This window comes from Homo sapiens, chromosome 14 (genome assembly GCF_000001405.40).
Source record: "Homo sapiens chromosome 14, GRCh38.p14 Primary Assembly".
NCBI classification, from domain to species: Eukaryota; Metazoa; Chordata; class Mammalia; order Primates; family Hominidae; genus Homo; species Homo sapiens.
Genome location: NC_000014.9, coordinates 72,602,117 through 72,619,889, shown reverse-complemented (window position 1 = coordinate 72,619,889; position 17,773 = coordinate 72,602,117). Strand labels below are relative to the sequence as shown.

The 17,773-nt window shown below is 51.2% G+C and overlaps 2 protein-coding genes across 2 annotated transcripts in view, besides 1 other annotated feature; one reads left to right on the top strand and one right to left on the bottom strand.

Annotated features, from left to right (window-relative positions):
• Positions 1–10,856, top strand: part of DPF3 (double PHD fingers 3) — a 285,068-nt gene extending 274,212 nt beyond the window's left edge. Inside the window, exon 11 of the mRNA NM_001280542.3 lies at positions 523–10,856. Coding sequence (NP_001267471.1) covers positions 523–593 — 71 coding nt within the window. The 3' untranslated portion in view covers positions 594–10,856. The remainder of the gene's footprint in view (positions 1–522) is intronic.
• Positions 1–17,773, bottom strand: part of RGS6 (regulator of G protein signaling 6) — a 762,695-nt gene that overhangs the window by 10,140 nt on the left and 734,782 nt on the right. The gene's annotated exons all lie outside the window — the stretch shown is intronic.
• Positions 15–1,214: an enhancer, noted in NCBI's record as "MED14-independent group 3 enhancer chr14:73085384-73086583 (GRCh37/hg19 assembly coordinates)". NCBI's record gives its function as "activates an origin of replication core promoter dependent on BRD2, BRD4, P300/CBP and CDK7 cofactors, and independent of MED14, by STARR-seq in HCT116 cells {active_cell/tissue: HCT116}" and the evidence as "EXISTENCE:reporter gene assay evidence [ECO:0000049][PMID:35650434]".

Sequence of the window (17,773 nt, the reverse complement as noted above, 5' to 3'; positions counted from 1 at the left end):
AGTCAACAATAAGAACAGCAACAGATACTACTACTACTAGCACTTACTGAGCTCTCACTATGGTACAGGCCTTATGCTAATGGGTTTACATGTTCATGTCTTGTCTCATTTAATCATCACAACCCCACAAGGTAGGTACGACGACTGCCATTTTACAGATGAGGAAACTGAGGCACAGTCCAAGCAGCTGAAATTTCAACTTGAGGGCCAAGGAAGTTTTTCCCAGACATGCAGTGGAGATGACCGGGAGGTGTGAGCTTCCAGGAGAACTGGCGCAGGCCCGGCGACACTAGTTTGGAGGCATGACGCTAGTAGTGAGGGTCTTGATAAGAGTTGAGCCCATCTCCTCTGAGCACCTGCTTTCTGCTGAGCCACAGACTCTGGCACGTTTTCAGGCCTGGGACTTGGTTTCTGCATTGCCAAAGTTCAAAGGAAACAGGATTTACAAGAAGTTAGGGCCAGTGGGGTGGGGCTCCAGAGTTAGCAGAGGGGCTGCTACTAAAGCCGTCTCATTTCTTGCAGGAAGCTGGAGCTGCCACTTATGCTGGGAACTGCTCAAAGAGAAAGCCTCAGCCTTTGGCTGCCAGGCCTAGGGCCCCAGGTCACAGAATGTGACTCGCTGCTGGAGATCCTAAAGCAGAGCCCAGTTCAAACCAGAACGCGCCCTCCTCCCACATATCCAGCCAGACCAACTGCAAGGAAAAGAAATAGTCCCAGAGGGGCAGGGACACATGGAACGAAGAGGGTGAGGCATCTCCTGACCTCCCCCGATATGTACGGAACTTCAGCCAGCACCTCCTTGTCTCTACCGGAAGGAAGTTGCACTTTGGGAGAACACCTCCGGCCCCAGCCCTGTGGAACCCCTCTCACTTTTACCCTAGCACCGAGGCCCTCTCATTGGTTCCCATTTTAAGGGAAGCCATTTCCTGACCACTCATCCATTACTTGTGTGTAGTGTGGTGTTTTTTTATCTATTGTGTTCCAAGAAATCTTGGCACAGCCCCCGTGCCCCCAGCTTAGGGTCTGCATCCTGAAATTCTCACCTGAGGAACAAAGGGCTGTGGAGAAGTTGTCGTTTATGGCAAGCCTCACTGGAAACTTCTAGACTTGGGGTCTTGAAACCCTTTCTTGTTCCTTGGTGTCTGTGGAGACAAAGAGTTGCCTTCTAGAACCCCAGCAGTGGCATCCACAGCCAGCCTGGTCTTGAGCCACTGCTTAAAGTTACTAGATGGGGGCGGGGAGGGAGGGAGACGCGCAGAGACATGGGAGGAAACATTGTGGAAATGGTGCCAAGGCCCCGCCATAGCCAGTCAGTACTTGTTATCCATCGGGAGAGACTTTGCAAGAGGCCAGGCTGGTTCCTTGACCTTCAGAGCTGGGGCATCCTTTAGGTGAGACCAGTCATGGCCTATGGACAGAGGAAGACGGTCAAGCCTCTGCCTCTCAGCCCACCTGGTTCTGGAGACCTGGTTCAGCTTCTCCTGGTGGGACTGAAGAACCAGGAAGGGGAGCGAAGGCTGCCCAATCATGTGTCCGAATGCTGGATACAGGGGGCTGCAGCTTTGAGAAACCTTCAGTATTGATGCGACGCTCTGAATTCCTTTTTCCAAGTAATTTCTTCCTTCCACGTAGTGTTTGTTCGCTATTGTCTACTGAGACCTGACTGGGAATTTTAGGATGGGGGAGAGAAGATTGTTATCTAAACAAATAATTAGGGTGACATGGTCATTATTCACGACCAGGGTGGCCACATTTTAGAACTCTCAGTGCGGGGGCTGCTCTTGTCTCCTAAGCTCCCCAAACATGCAGGACTCTTGTTTTCAAAAAAAAATGTGTCTAGAAGAAAGAGGTGGGGAGGCTGAGCTTCCGAGAACTCTGTGTGTTGGAAGATAGCCCCGAGGGCTGGAGCGGATTGGGCTGACTTTGAATCGCAGCAGCAGCACAATAACTGACATATTTCTGGAAAAATCATTTGCCCAAAGGGCAGGTCTCGGTGAGCGGAACCCTCGCGCATGCTTGGCTTCTCTGAAATCAGCTCCATCTCTGTGGTCTGGCTGCTCACAACAAAGGCCCAGGTTATTTTTAGTTCTTCAGCTCCTGAGGACGCTCCCGGAGACTCGGGCTAGTTGGGCCACCTCTGCCCGGCCGCAGTATTTGTGCTGTCCCTCGGCAGGAGTGCTCCTCTCTAGGCTAATTGCTCTTGGCCAGTGGACCCAGGGCAGCCTGGCATGAAACCAAGCAGTGTGGGTCTCCCCCACGCTTCAGCAGAGTGACCTGTGGCAAGCGATGGGGGTCACTCTCCTGCAGGGGCCTGTGGCCTCAGAGGGAATCACACACATACATAATGGTCTCATTTAAAGGGCCCCCGACCGGATGGAATTTTCATCTTCCTCATAAGTAATTTCCTTCCGCCTGCTGGTCGGTGAGCTTGTCTGAATCCTGAAGGCCCAGGGAGGGATAGGGAGGGTGACATTCCATCAGAGGGGCACATTTTTTCTCCTGACTACTCCAGCTCTCTCTCTTCCCACAAAACCCAAAGCAGGCTGTCTCCAAAGGCTAATAATTGGTTTTGAGCGTCATTTTAATTTAAATTTAGAAAAAAAAGTTCCCCAAATGTTCCCAAGTGCCACAATAGCTTAAAAGTTTAAAAAGCAAGTCCGAAACCCCAAACTGTGGCTCTACAACTTCACACGTCCTCTTCAGAGTATGTGCAAATTTGTTTTCCACAGAAGTGCAGGTGATAGGGCAGCCCTGTTCGATCTCAGCCCCATGTCTGCTCTGCCTACACAAGCTGAGCCTCAGCTGGGTCTCCCAGGCCAAGGCAGGGCACTGGAACTTGCCTGCACTGGTGAGGGTCAGGGCTCTGGAGTGACGTTAGGATGGCCCCGGAGTTCCCCTCTCAGCTTCATTACTCCCTGAAGAATGGGCCCAACCCATTCTTCATCTTTGGAGGCCTCAGTTTCCCCATCTGGAAAGCGGGGATAGCAAGCCAGCTTGTGGGCTGGCACTGTCAGGGTACTACAAGCAGACAAAAGTCTCCGTGGTCACATTTATCACCTCTGTGTTCAAAAGAGGACGGGGTTGGTAAACTTTAAATTGGTCTCTTTTTTTTGAACCCCAGAGAATGAGATAGAATCATAGGATGCATGTGAAGGATCAGAGTTTTTGTGTTGCCTCTGCCATGGAGTAGCTGTGTGACACTGGGCAAGTCACCTAACCTCCCTGAACCTCAATTGCCCACCTGGAAAGTGGAGATAGTAACACTTGCCCTGCCTATTCCAGAGTGACACTGGGACTCTTAAGCATCATGTTACATAAACAAGCACTGCAGAGCCATGCTTGTCTGGGAAGAACTCCGGATGTTTTCCATGTCCGCCTTCTTGTGTGCATTAGCCAATGTTAGACGTCTTCTTCAAATCTCCCTTGTGACCAAAGGGAGTTTATATTGCCAGGGCTGGGCTGCGACCAAGGAAATCATGACTTGCATGGGCTGTGGGGTGGAGGTGAGGGATGTACATGGGGTTGGGGACTTTAAAATGAAGGTACTCAGGATACTCCTTCTATAAGATTAATGCAGTTGAGAATGGAAAGGTGACTTTTAGAGAGGGCTATGATTTGTTTCAGTTCATGGGTAACGCTCACTTTCCGACCAACACTGCCACTTTCTAGCTGACTGACCTTGGGCCAATGACTTCAACTCTCTGAGCCTCATTTCACATGTCTGTAAGGTGGGGAAACATGGCCTATCCAGCATGGTCTTTGCAGGTATTCAAGGTGACATTGGTAAAGATCCTGGCCCGGGTCTGGCATGATGATGGTCCCCACTCCATGGTAGCTATTGTCATTTTCTGCAGAGGCCACCAAATGGAGATAATGATGTGGTTGTCTTCCGGCTCAAATGCTGGGAACAGCCAGGAGAACTTTGCTGGGCTTCACCCCTCTGTACTGTGGCTCCAGCAAACCAGAGAGGTGAGGCTGCCAGACCCAACCGGAAGTGGAAATCCTGTTTCCTGTAGGCATTTTTGAAACCCTGCTTTTTGGATCTGTAGCAAATCCAGTGCAGGCAACATTATGTGGAAATAGAAACAGGGCTCCTGCTAGGAGATTGACATTCTGGCTTTCCTTTGGAACCCCTCACTGACTCATCGCCCCTGAAGCAGGAGCCAGCAGGTCCCAAGGCTCCCCTGCTCCTGTCCCTGCCCCAGGGCGAGGTAGGAAGCCGGAAGCCTGGGCAGGCTGAGCCCAGCCGACTGGAACCAGGGAAGAGCCTGTGGGTGGGTGGAAGGGAGGGAAGGAGGCCAGATTCCTCCAGAACTGGGGAAGAGAACAGGTTTTGAAGTTGGGGGAGGGTTTGGGTTTCACAGTGATGGTTTCATGATACCCTGGAGGGTTGCACACTCCTGGTGCATTTTTGTATTCGTGCTTTGAATACAGCCCGCTTCCTTTCAACCCTCCGCTTAAAAAGTTTTGATGTTTTAAGGAAGAAAAATGAGATGATTGTTATTACTTTTCCTTTCGGGGCAAGTGGAGGAGACCTGTGCTCTTTTATGCCGCTGAAGAAAGGTTGCTGGCAACCTCAGGCCTCAGGACTCAAAGAAGAGGGGCTTATAGTCTCCTCTTTGGGTCTGTGTGTGAGGAGGTAGGGGGTGTTGCGCCGCCCGTGGCCCAGGGCGGGCCCTGAGGACCACATCCCTGCCCCCCAGGCTGGTTTTTAGCCTGTCGTGGAAGTGCTGGGACAGAAGCAGCCCCTTCTTCTCTCACTCCCCGGCTGCCCCTCCTAGCCCCTCTTCAGGGGGTCCCCATGTCTCAGCCCGAGGGAGAAGTTGGCTCTGGCCAGAGCCACGCTCACACTCCCACAGGATGCCGCAAGTCCCAGGCCTGGCTCCTGGTAGCAGTGGTGACTTGGTGTCCCTTTTAGCAGGCTTCCATTCCTGGGGAGGGAGAAAGACAGGGGTGCCTGGGGAAGGGAGGGTGGGAGGGCATTTGGGAGGGGTGAGGATCTCTGGTGGAAAAAGGCAGAGAGCTGGATGTCCTCAGGGAGAAATCCTCGAGCTAAGGAGCTGGAGGGCAGCAGGTGGGAGTGAACAGTGATTGTAACTCTTTTTTTTTTTTCTGAGGCTTGTGATCCTGGGCAACAGATTATTATTATTATTATTTTGTAAAAAGGCCAAACCTCTGCCCAGTTCTGAACACTGATTCAGCTCCCTCTTTCTTGAGGCCGCCCGTTGGTTGTGTGGGGTTTCAGGGATGCTTCTGAGGGCAAAGTAAGCCCCTCACCCAGCTGGGGAGAGAAGGCAGTGAGGGAGGGCTGGATCATGCCTGCAGCCTTGGGGAGTGAAGCATTTCCAGGCACTGCTACCAGAGGGGTCAGGCCCCCAGGCCCCTGTCCCCCAAGCCCAGGACACCAGTAGCTGGGAAGGGAAGAGGGGGACTGGCCATCCTGCTCCTCTCCCCTCTGCAAAGTGGACAGAGCTCCTCCTCTTCCTGCTGTGTGTTGCCCGTTTTGAAATCTTACTCCCATCCCCAAAGTATGCTTTTGGATACCAGGTGAAGGGGAAGGATGGTGATGGTGGGGAACAGCTGTTTTAATTTGCCTCAGGCCTATGAATCTCCCTACCTGAACCCCAGCTTGCCATAGAGTCTAACTGGTCCGTGGTCAGAAGGTGGGCTCCATAGCTGTCTGGGGGTTGGGGCTCCCTCCCCCATTTCTGAGCATTCCCAGGGTTTGGGAGTCTGCTTATGATTCTCTGCCAGAGGCCACGGCCACCAGCCCTGAGTGTGGAAACAATGGGACAGATGGGTTGGTTCAAGGCCTTTGGGCAGCTGGTGGTGGGTCTTGGAGAGCTGGGAACCCCTTCCTAGGGAGGCTGGAGACCCTCTGGTCTGTGAGTGGACAGCTGAGAGTGGGGCAGGGGGAAGGAGGGGAGAGGAAGATGGGGGTGCTTCCTGCTGGGCACCCGGGATGTGGGAGGATAGACAACCTCCCAGGCAGAGCGAGTGGGAACTGCCTTAGAGCCTCTCAGCAGCTGTCCCCGGGGAGGCCTGGCTGTGCGGCGGGCGCCCCCTCCATGTGCGCAGCCCAGGCAGCTAGAAGAGAGGCCCAAAGGAAGAGCTGTCAGGAAACTCTGAGGAGGAGGGGTCCGGGCTTGCCAGTTCCGTACCATGGGTTTTCTAGAAGGAACAGGGAACTCCCTGCATGAGGGGAAAGATTTGGAAGTGAGTGGGTTCCTGGGAACAGGCTCTCTCTGGGTTCTGAGTGAGCCCTGGCTGTGAGGGGGTCCTGAGGTGACTCCCCAGGGCCCTTTGTTCCAGCTTCTGTCCCCACTCCTTCCCTTTCTCTGCTCCAGTGCCAACCTCAGGTCATAGGGCAGGTGGCCTTGAGAGAGGGACCTTCCACAGTTCCCCTTCTTTGGCTCCACCAGGAGAAGGGAGTATTTTGCTGATGGCGACATTTCCCAGGGCAGGCCAGAGGAAGGCAGGAACCAGGACTGGCAGGCAGCCAGAACCCTCTTGGACAGAGATATAATTACTTATCATGACCTCTAGCCCAGGCATTGAGCAAAATGGCCCTGTAGGCTGGCACCAACCCTGTCTAGCAAATAAACGCGGCCATGGTGGGGACGGGAGGGCAGGTAAGTGGGCCTTGTAGGAAATGGCAGAGGCCTGTGAGCCCCTGGGGCCTATATATTCCCTCAGCAACACAACCCTACAGACTCCCAGGTTATATTTTCACTCACTGCATCCCATTTGCTCATTTGCTCGCCTCTCTGCATCTCTGTTCTTCATTTCAATGTTATGAATATTGATGATGAGAACAGGAATGCCCATGTGCATGCGCGTGCGTGCACGCACGCACATACACACACACACACACACACACACACACACACACACACGCCCTACTTAATGAACCAAAGGGAAACTTTGATGTTGCTCCAGGACAAGAGGGAGAGCCAGGGGCTGCCAGGCAAGGTGCATCTTTCCTGAAGTCTTCTCCAGTCCTGCTCCTCCAGCTCTCAGCCTCTGCACAGCCACCAGGGTTGCAAAGGGAGCCTTGTGCTTGGAAAGCTACTGGCTCCGCGACCTCTCTCCTTCTCTTCCCTTCGTTCACCTATGCTTCTTTTCATGAAAGATATTTGGCAATAGTTGGGTACTTCAAAAGTCTCAATTCTGCTATCAAAGGGATGCAAAGCTTTTATGGCTAGAATGGGGTTTGTGGTTTATACGGACTTGGTTTGCCCTTCCATGTCTACTCCCCACTGAGACCCTGATTCTCCTCCTGCCCTCTCCCTTCCCTGCACTGTTTCCTCCCTTCCCTCTGCCGTGATAGATGCTAAGGAGTGGGGTGGAGGTGGGAAGTGGGAAGCAACAGTGGCGTATAGGAAAAAGAAAATATACCCCGTGCACATTTTCAACATGTAGTTGAAGAAGCCTAAATTAGGTACTAGAAAAAAAAAAAGGACAGAAACACTGCCTGATATGTGAGCAAGAGCATGAAAATATAGAATGATTATCTCAGAGCAGAGGAGGTGGGGAGCAGGTGGCTGGAGAGAGGCGGGGTAGGTAGGCAGGGCGTCCCTGGCTCACCAATGCGTCTGGTCCACATGGCATTTGGGAAAGCAGATGGGTCATGCTTTTGCAATGAATGGTCAGATGCTTAGGGGGCATTTGTGCTCCTCTGGCCAGGAAAGGGAACAGAGTCCATCCAAGCTGCCCCCCACTCATCTGCCATGGTTGTCCACCCTGGGGGTTTTTCCTCTGAAGGAAAATGAACCCATCTTTTGCCTGCCATGAATCATTGCAGGGCAGGCTGTTACTGGCTAAATTAAAACCCTTGGCAGGGCATCGACTGTGTGCGAGGCAATGCTCTAGGTCCTGTAGGGGCTGGAAAATAAACCGCATGCTGGCCTAGCCTTCAAGTTGCTTTTCAGCCATGAAATTAAGCTCTGCCAAGCAATCGTGATTGTAGGTCAAGTATCGCGCCATCACGGAAGGTGTAAGTATATGTAGGTTTCTCTGTTGAGGATGCGTGTTCCTCAGTAGAAGACAAGCAGGTGGAGGCATCCAGTGATTTCTACCCTGTGGAGGCTGAGGGGTCGGGGGAAGAAAACAGATGACCTCAGCCTAGTTGCTTTAATCTGCTTTTCCAAGCACTGGATGCCCTTGGATGACAGCATCCTCAGCATTAAAACTGGTGAACTGATGAAGTCACCTGGCCTGGAGTGTGTTGGGCAGCCAGTGTCCCCAGAGCTGCTTGTGGGTTTCTGGGGTGGAAGGCAGGGAGGTGCAACTGGCAGGGCCTGATCAGAGGCAGAAAATGACCCCCACAGTGGTCTTTTCCCTGCTAGAGAAAGCAGAGAGCGGGACTGGGGGGGTGGGGGCTTCAAGTACAGATTGGGCACACTCCACCAGACCCCAGCAAGGTCAGCTGCCCCACGCCTGTATCTGGCACTGCTGGTGTGTGCAGGGATGAAACCCAGCATCAGAGAGGTTTTCAGCAAACCTTCCATGCTCACCTTTGGCCAGGTGCTTGTCAGATCCTAGCTTCGTGCTGGCTTAGACTCTCAGTTGTTTGTGTTGACAGCATTAGGAATAAACCGTTTGTTTCATCTTTCCTTTTCTCCACACGTGTCACAGCCAGATTTCAGCTTTGAGTTATTCCCTGAAGAAGCCACACCAACCTTGCTTTCAAGCAAAATGCCTGGGCTTGGGGGAAGGTGTGTATCTGTCCATGTGTGGATGTTGGCTCAGAGCTATAGCTTCTCTGTGGGGGGTGGCCCAAGGGAAGGCTCCTCTGGGGCCCTGGATGGCACATGACTCCCAGTGAGGAGAATTCTGGTGATCTCTGTGGAGGTAGTCAGGGACACAAGGCTTGGCTGTGAGTCTGGTTTTAAAGTGCGTGACAGCCTGAAAAGCATGCAGGGGTTTGGTCCACTCACCTACTTGAAAGCCTGTGGGCAACGTTCTTTTGAGCCAAGACTTCTCTGAATGGCCCTGCTGGTGGAAGGGGTGAGGCAAAGGCCTCTGACTTGGACCCTTTCCACACCAGACTGGCAGCACTTCCCCCAGGCAGCCAGTGGTGGGCCCTGAGCCCTCAGGTCCCCAGCTCCTTGAGGGATGAACCTGGGAGCCCAAGAGCCAGTGGCTGAGCTCTGAGAAGGCTCCATCTCCCACCTGCCCTTGAGCGCGCTCTCAGGCTGAGAACACGGTCTCATCAGGCGCCTTCCTGGCCTGATGCTGTGCTGTCTACGTCACACGGTCGATTCACAAAAGCCAGAACTAGACCTCAACCAGGTCATCTCCCCGTTGCCAAGTGGGTTCAGGGTGAGGGCAATTTGTAAGCTCAATTTCTCTGACAGCCAAGACATGGAGCATCTCTGCTAAGAAGCCAAAAGAAATTGGTTTTCTTCTTCTCATTGCTGAAGCCCCTCTGTGTCTCTTCTCAGGGACAGGCTGGTCCAGTGGCTTTGGTGAGGGCGCCTCCATTTGTGAACGCTGGGATTCCTCTGGGTGGGCTTTGGCAGGTGGCTCCTATGGTAGGAAGGATGACCAGGTCCCTGGGAATGAGCTGCCTACCTGCTGCTCCACGAGGAAGCTCAGGCCTGCACAGGCTCCACCAGGCCTTGGATGCCCTCTAGTTGAGTCAGAGACCCTGGAAACACACTGAGATCTCCAATTGCTGCCTCCATTGATGTCTCTAGACCTGCAGATACGAAGCAAACCTGGGATTGCTTCTTCCAGGTATGGGCACCAGAGAGGGAAGCCACTGCAACATTTTATCCCCATCATTCCAAAATGCTTGCTTGTCTCTTTTACCTCACACTCACAACTCCTTCTGAGACTCTCAGTCATAAAGGAATGACCAAGAGAGTGGGTCTCCAGTGAGAGAAATGCCTATGAAAGAGGGTTTCCCTTTTTGCTCTTTTGAACACCCTCCCCACTGATCCTTGGGACCCAACGCCGCATTGCCTCTTGCAGATGAGGTTTTGCCTTGGGCTGCTTTGGTACTTCAGACCAGGACTGAGTCTGACACAGCTTTCATGAGGTTACAGAAAAGGGCTACAGATTTGGGAAGCTGTGTGTAATGGTCTTGAGACAATATCTCCATTTGGCCCACCCTGGCTTCTCTAAAAAGCAACGACAGCAACAGACAAACAAAAAGCTCCCACCTCCCACCCCGTTAGCTGTCCTCCTCCTTCACTGTGATGTGGTTGCGGTCTCTGTAGGTGTGTGTGCCACCCTTGTCCTCTGTCCTCTGGGGATGTGCCCTTCCCACGTGTGTCAGGTTCCCACTCTTTCGTGGTTCCTAACGTGAAGTGCTGTGATGTTTCTGCCCTGCCTAAGGAACGTATCAAGCTCTCTCAGTGTTTCAGTGTTGGAGATTGAGGCTGTGCCACATCTTCTGCCATCCTAAGGGGACATGATGGTTCTGTGATTCCCAGAGAGCTGGCAGATTGTGACAATCTCCAGGAGAACCTACAGATTGGAAGCAGCCCACACCTGATGTGGACTCCTGACCCGGGACTCACTCTTCATTCAGAAGACTGGTGGCCCACGTGCCAGGACCACCCCACCTCTCTTGCTGCCTTTTCTCCTGTCCTGATGGGGTTCTGGGAGGGAGACCTGTCGCTGATGAGATGAAGAATGTGGGGATCGAGCAGCCTTCTTCTTTGGGACCCCTCGATATCCCATGGAATGCTCGCACGTTCTCAAAGACTGAGTCACAAGCCCCTACCCCTTCCTTGCTGTGGTTAGTATCTTGTTCTGTGATTGGTTAGCAATGTTGACTACCCACGTAGTGAATCTTTTGTCTGCAATTTAGAGAATGTGTAAACAAATAAAAGGCTTTAAAACTCTTGGAAACTCTTATTTTCCCTACGGATAGTTAGGACCTCACTTGCAAATGTAGAGATCCTGTGGGGGTAGAGCCCTTTCATGTTGGGGTGTGCAGTAGGACTGCATTGTGTAAGAGAGAGAGAAAGAGAGAGAGGGAGAGAGAGAAACACGCATGCGTGTGCATCAGGCTCCAGAGAAACACTAGTGCTTTCATGGTTGCAGGGAGACTCCAGGAGCAACAAATTCCAGGTCTCAGTTGCTGCCTGGTGATGAGCTTCTGGCCACGTCATACATAGCACCAGGGAAGCCACAGTCACCGTGACAGCTTTCATGGGCACAGTGGGCAGCATAGCTTCAGGCCTTAACTGAGAGCTTCATCTGCAGGAGTAGAGCAGCTCCTTTTCTGGAGACCCCTCAGAGAAGCTCCTAGGGCATCCTGAAAGGAGCCCCCTAGATTTTCTAGGAGAAGGGAGGTTGATGAATCAGAGATGACTCACAGGAGAGGTGGGGGAATATGGTTGGGGAGAGAGAGAGACCTCTGGTGCAGGACCCATCTAGAAGCCAGCTGAGTCATTGCTTCTTTTCTCTCAGCTGCCTTCCATGAAGGCAGTGAGTTGGCTGCCCTGGGCAAGGAGCAAGAGGTATCACAGAGGACACATCTGCCCCTAGAGTCTCTAGAGTCTGCTTAGCAATGGCCTTAAAGCAACAGCCTGTGGGTATAGGACTCCTGGTCCATGCGGGAATTGGTTTCCTGAGGCTGCAAGTTAAGAGTCAGTCTCCCAAAAATAAATTTTAGATAGATAAATAAAGGCCTCTACTCTATGCTAGGTACTGGGGCTACAGCAGAGAAGACAAAGCTCTACCTCTCATGAGGCTCACAATCTTGCCAAGGAGGCAGGCACCAGACAGGTAATAGTACAACATGTGATGAACGGGGTCAAGGGGGAAATTGAGGGAACTAGAACATGAGCTCCCTGGTCTCGATCAGTCAGCGTGGTTTTAGTTGGAAGCTACTGTGCATTTTGGTAAGACACAGGTGGGCATGGCAGTGGGAAGACACCATGTCACTTTTTATTCCTCCCCTAAGTGAGTGCTGCACTGTTCTTTAATGAGTCATCCATGCGCCTTCAGCCTTTGCTTTTCTAAGCATAATGTGGGGCCGTTATTTCGGCAGAGAAGCCATTGATGGTTGCTGCGGACATGGGTCATTGAGCAGGTTGTCGAGCCATCTCTGCAGTGGGAGAGATGTTCGCATTCAGGGACCAGAGGGGAAAGGCCAGGCCTTCACCCAAAGCAGTTTCAAGTGACAGCTGGACCTGCAATGCTGAACTGCTAAATTCAGCAATCAGGGGGACTTAGGCTCATATAACAAAATCCAGGCAGCAGACGATTACACAGACACCCACATTCAGGCCTTTCATCTGCACAGAGAGCTGTGCACATTTCTGCTTTAACCCCAGGGAACCCGGCATTGCATCCTAGTCTGCTATGGTATGAATGGTATGTCCCCCAAAATCCATATGTTGAAATCTCCACCCTCAGGGTGATGGTATTAGAAGCAGGGACTTTGGGAGGTGATTATGTCATGGGGGGCAGAGTCCACATGCACGGCATTAGTGCCCTTATAAAGGAAGCCCAAGACAGACCCCTTGCCCCTTCACCATGTGAAGTTGGAGTGAGAAGGTGGCTGTCCATGAGGAGGCAGGCCCTTGCTGGACACCGAATCTGCTGGCACCTTGATCTTGGACTTTCCAGTCTCCAGAATTGTGAGAAATAAATTTGGCTTATTGTTGATAAGCCACCCAGTCTATGGCACTTTATTATAGGGGCCCAAACAGACGAAGACATTTTATCCCATCAATTTCTGAGAGAGGTCTTTTGAGAAGGCAGTAGATGTGCCATGTTCTGTTGGACCTGAGAAAGTTAACTATTATAATGCAGCCCAGAAACTGACATTGCCCTGAGTCAGAGGGATGGAGGAGGGAGGGGGTGTTAGTCCATTTTGTGTTACTAAAGGATATGCCTGAGGATGGGTAATTTGTAAAGAAAAGAGGATTATTTGGCTCATGGCTCTGCAGGCTATACAAGAAGCATGGCACCAACATCTGCTTCTTGTAAGGACCTCAGGAAGCTTTCAATTGAGGAGGAGCAGGTGTGTCACATGGTGAGGGAAGGAGTGAGACAGAGAGGGGGAGGTCCTAGACTCTTTTTAACAATCAGTTCTAGTGTGAACCAATAGAACAAGAACTCAGTCATTACCTACCGCTGGGAGGGCACAAAGCTGTTCATGAGGGATCCACCCCCACGACCCAAACACTTCCCACTAGGCCCCACCTCCAACACTGGGGATCACATTTCAACACGGAATTTGGTGGGAACACACATCCAAACTATCAGCGGGGAAAAGTGGAAGGATCCAAGTTATGTTCAAGCAAACGCAGAGCAGAACGGCCTTCCTCTGCTTTTTCCCTGGGGAGAGGAAAAGGCTTGGAATGGTGGTGGAGTGAGGTGGCGAGACCTAGGAAGAAGGGACCAGTGGGATAAGATGTTGATGAGTGGCTCAACACCCGGCAGTAGTGGGAGTCTAAGGGGTGGGGTTGCGATAGAGATATAATATGGTTTCCCCTCCCTGGGTTGGCAGAAAGGCTACTGAGAGAGGAATCAGAAGTTCTAGATCTTGTCTTATCTGGCTGGGTGACATTTGACTTTATAGATACAGGCATGAGTTTCTATAAAGTCAGCCCTAGACTTAGCGGGTTTGGGGAAGGGGCCATGCAGATCGAGGTATACATGCACCAAAAGATCATGCCTGTCTTCCAGCCCCCAGAGTTGGCCTGAGTCAGGGGCCTTCTGGGGTGTCTGGCAAAGTGTGTTTCCATGCAGTGCCTTGGAATGGCATGGTTTAATACCAGACACGATGAGGCCAGAGGTTTACATTGTTCTAGAATAGTGGTTTTCCAAGCAGACTTTGCAGAGGCCTAGGATTCTGGGAGTGATTTGGGGATGCCCAGAGGTCTCGGGGGACAAGGGTGGAAGGAAAGTCCTTGAGCCTTGAGCCCCAACTTTCAACTCAAACCAGTGACCAGCACAGCTCCGATTTGATCTGTGTCTTCTATTGGTGGTTCTGCTGCTTCAAAAAACACGCAACAGTTTGAAACCATCTTTGGGGCTAGATGGTGGGAAGGGCACAGGGGTGTCCTCTGAGGTTGTGCAGAGTGATGATGGGAGGTCACCTCGGTCCCATGACCCTCTGCCATGCACAAATGGATGTAGCCCATTCCCGGCTTTTGCCAAGGGGGTCTGATCTCCACTTGGGGCTTCTCCCTTGGGTTACTCTTAAGAAGAGCAGAGGGACATTGGTATCATGACCAGGAGGGTCCACTCTGTCCATTCCTGGGCATCCCTGCAGCCTGCAGCACACACTACCCTACCTGTCCCCAGCCCGGCCTGTCTTGGTGTTCTGCTGTCACATCTGCGTCGTAAGCCTCAGCCCGTGTTTTGAACCATCAGCGCTTTTAGCAGGGCCAGAACAACAGTGTGTCCCCAAGGTGGGTGGGTTAGGAATGTTCGGGCTAAACTTCAGGTAATTAGCATTGTTAATGCTCGTTCTGTGATATTACAGCTGTGAGCCTCATTAAAGTGTTCTCCGGGGGAAGCAAGCTGAGATCCAGGTGTCAGCTCTCCTCTGCGTGCAAGCGCCCGCCTGCCATCTCCAAGCCTCTGTGCTGAAGCCTGGCTCATTCCCATCCCCTCCTCCTGCTCCTGCTCCCTCTCTGCTGGCATCTGGGCTGGGCCTGCTTCCCTTCGCTGGGATTTGCGCCTTCCCATCCCCTTCTCCAGCATGGAAAGCTCTGTCTCCCCTTTACCCAGAGAGAAACGTGCCCACAGCATGGAGTGGAATGGCTGCCGCTGGTCCTTGCTCACTCCAACTCAGCTTTGAAAGAAAGATTATTCTGCTCCAGACAGGGAGCCCAAACCTGCCCTCTACAGTGCCACGGCATTTTATCCATGGCTGTACCCTCCCTTGCCTCCCAGAAAACCCAAGACCTGGTGCTCCCCACCTCCTGGCTATTTCCTGGGCCCAACTGGCATCTGTTGCAGTGGCCCCGCTCAGAAAGAAACCCGAGTCCCTCTGGCTTTAATTTCTGGGATTCCTGATTCCTGGGAGGGGAGGCAGGGGACTGACTATTTGCCAAACAGAGAAATATGAAACGCTCTCCAACCCCCTTGAAACCTTGAGGAAAATAATGCCATCCCCGCCAGGGACTAAACACAGGCTCAACCCAAAACAGAGAGGGAAAACACAATTCCAGAGAGCCTCCCTGGGGGCTGGGAGGAGCTAAGGAGGGTCGTACCAGCACCCAGACCCTCTTATTCTCTCCCCTTTCTGCTTTCCTCAAACCCCTGGGTCATCTGTGTCCACAGAGGTGCATGTTCAGAGCGGTCATCCAAGCCATTTTGATGGACACAACTCACCGTCTCATGTGGCTACAGACTTGGAGGATAAAACTTGACAGCAACTTTAGAACTTCCCAGTGGAAGCAACGGGCCAACTGAGAGGTATAGCATGTACATTGTTGCCTTTAACTCAGGATGGAACCACAGATATGTGGTCCCATAGGCACACAGGAAGGGAGATCATCTGTAGAAGGCCTTCATGAGGAGGTGCATTGGAGCAGAACCTTGAAGAATGTATAAGACTTTGACAGCAGTGATTTGGGATTGGGGATGGGCTTTCCAAGTGGAGAGGGCAATTTGAACAAACCCGCCTCCGTTTATTCTAGGGATGCTGGGCTGAGGTTGTCTGGGACCTGTGTCTTAAACACTGCAACCCAGGCTGTACCTCAGATCTAGGGCAAACTCTTCCATGGAGCCTAGTTGCCACATGACACACAGAGGGCCATTTTCTGAAGCTAAGAGCCAATGTTGGGGGCTCAGAGTCTTTAACCTGTGAGAAAAGAGCCTGAGATCTTCCAGCAACTAGTCTTCCACTTTGTTTGATGTGTGGGCTTGGATCCCGTTAAACTATACTCTCTTGGATCCTGTTAAACTATACTATTACTCTCTCTCCCATCCTCTATGCAGTGTCCAGAAAGATAACTCCTTAAACTTCTGTCTGATTCCTTTTTATGTGTTTTCTTACATTCCTCATTTCCCACAAGGCACTCCCTCATTTCTCACAACGAACCACTCTAACCTTATCTTTTTGCTTTTGTCAATGTGGTTGAATGGAGATCTCTTGTCTGGAATCTCCAGAATGCCACCCCAACCACCCAAGCAGGAACTTTCTTGCATACATACTCGTTCTCCACCTACAAACATTTCTGAGGCTCCAACCTCTTATCTATGTTTTACCTATCCCTGTCATATAGCACCTGATGCTCCCTGCTCGTTGTCAGCTTTCTTGAGAGCCTCCCTGATCAGACTAGCTCTTTGAGGGCACGCACTGTGTCTTGTTCACTGTTGAATGCCAACTGCCTGGATCATATTCAACAACAGAATGGGTGGATGAATACAGGGATCCTTGAATGAATGATTGAGTGTGTGAATGGGTGACTGAGTGGATAAGAGGAAATCCAGTGGTGTGGGGAGTGGAGCACAGTTTGCCTCATAGGCATGGATATTTCTCCCTCTGGGGCATGGCCCTGGCAGAATCAGAAGCAGATCTCCTCCCCTGGCGCCTGTGGGAGGAAGGCAGTTCTGTTGGCTAAGAATGGACTGGGCCCCTAGGCCTTTACCCATCTGTTGTTGGGTTACTACAGCCCACTTAAAACCCAAATCCTTCAAGTCTTGCTGCATTATTAATCATGATTTATTCTAAGTGGGCCACCCTGTGTTCCTCTTAAAGGAAATCCACTATGCACTTAAAGAAATAATAAATTATGAAAATGATCTCCATGTTTCTCTGGGGCAAAATGGCCAACTTTCTTCTTAAAGAGCTCATAAAGGGCCCTGAAAAAAATACATTATTAGATTTAGTCCCTAAACAGGCATTCACAGATTAAAACTATTTACAAACAACACCTAAAAGCCCAGGGCTTAAAACTGGTGGTTTATAAATATCCTTTGACTTTGTTTAGTTTCTTTTTTGATTTTTTTCTTTTTTCTTTTTCTTTATCTTCCTCAGTGATCCTTGTTCTGATATCCTTTGATTTTAAGGGACTAGAATCAAGGACTGCCTTTCTCAACGTGGATCTAGCTTTGGAGGGGAATGGAACGCAGCTTCTGGGGTGATCCTTCAGTTGTGCCATAAAATCATTAGCTTTCCTCTAGTTATGCCGTTTAAAAATATACATTGCACTCCTGTATGCTTTTAATTATGTCTTGAGGCCAAAATTATTGCCCTTGGGAATACATTTCCAATTACATAATGGAAGTCAGGAAAGAAAATACTTTTAATTACAAAAGTCACTGGGCTCTAACCTTCGGTGATCCGTTTGCCAAATGGAGAGAGGCACCAGGAGAGCTCACCCTTGCCTCGGTGCGCACTGTGAGTCGGCCGGTGGAGGGTGGCTTTGGGGCCTGAGAACCCTTGAGAGAAGGCTGGCAATGCCACTCACAGGCTGGATGACCTGTGGCGGCCATGCTACATAACCTCCATGAGCCTCAATTTCCTCGTCTGAGAAATGGGGAGAATGACACCTACTTTGTAGGGTTGCCGTGAGGATTAAACACAGTCACATGTGTATAGTACCTAGCATGTATGGTTCTTCCTCTCTCATCCTTCTCCTACCATCCTCTCGTCGACCATGTAATCACTGATATGGCAACAAAAACTTGATCCTAGAATAAAAGGTTAACAAGTTCCTACCCTTAAGACGTAAGTTTCCTCAAGAAACTTAGGTGGCAGAACAGGGCCGAGGAAAGTACCCTGGCTTGGGAGTCAGAGAAATGTGGCTTTGTCTGTTTTTCCTTTTCTCTTAATGGAGGGAATTAT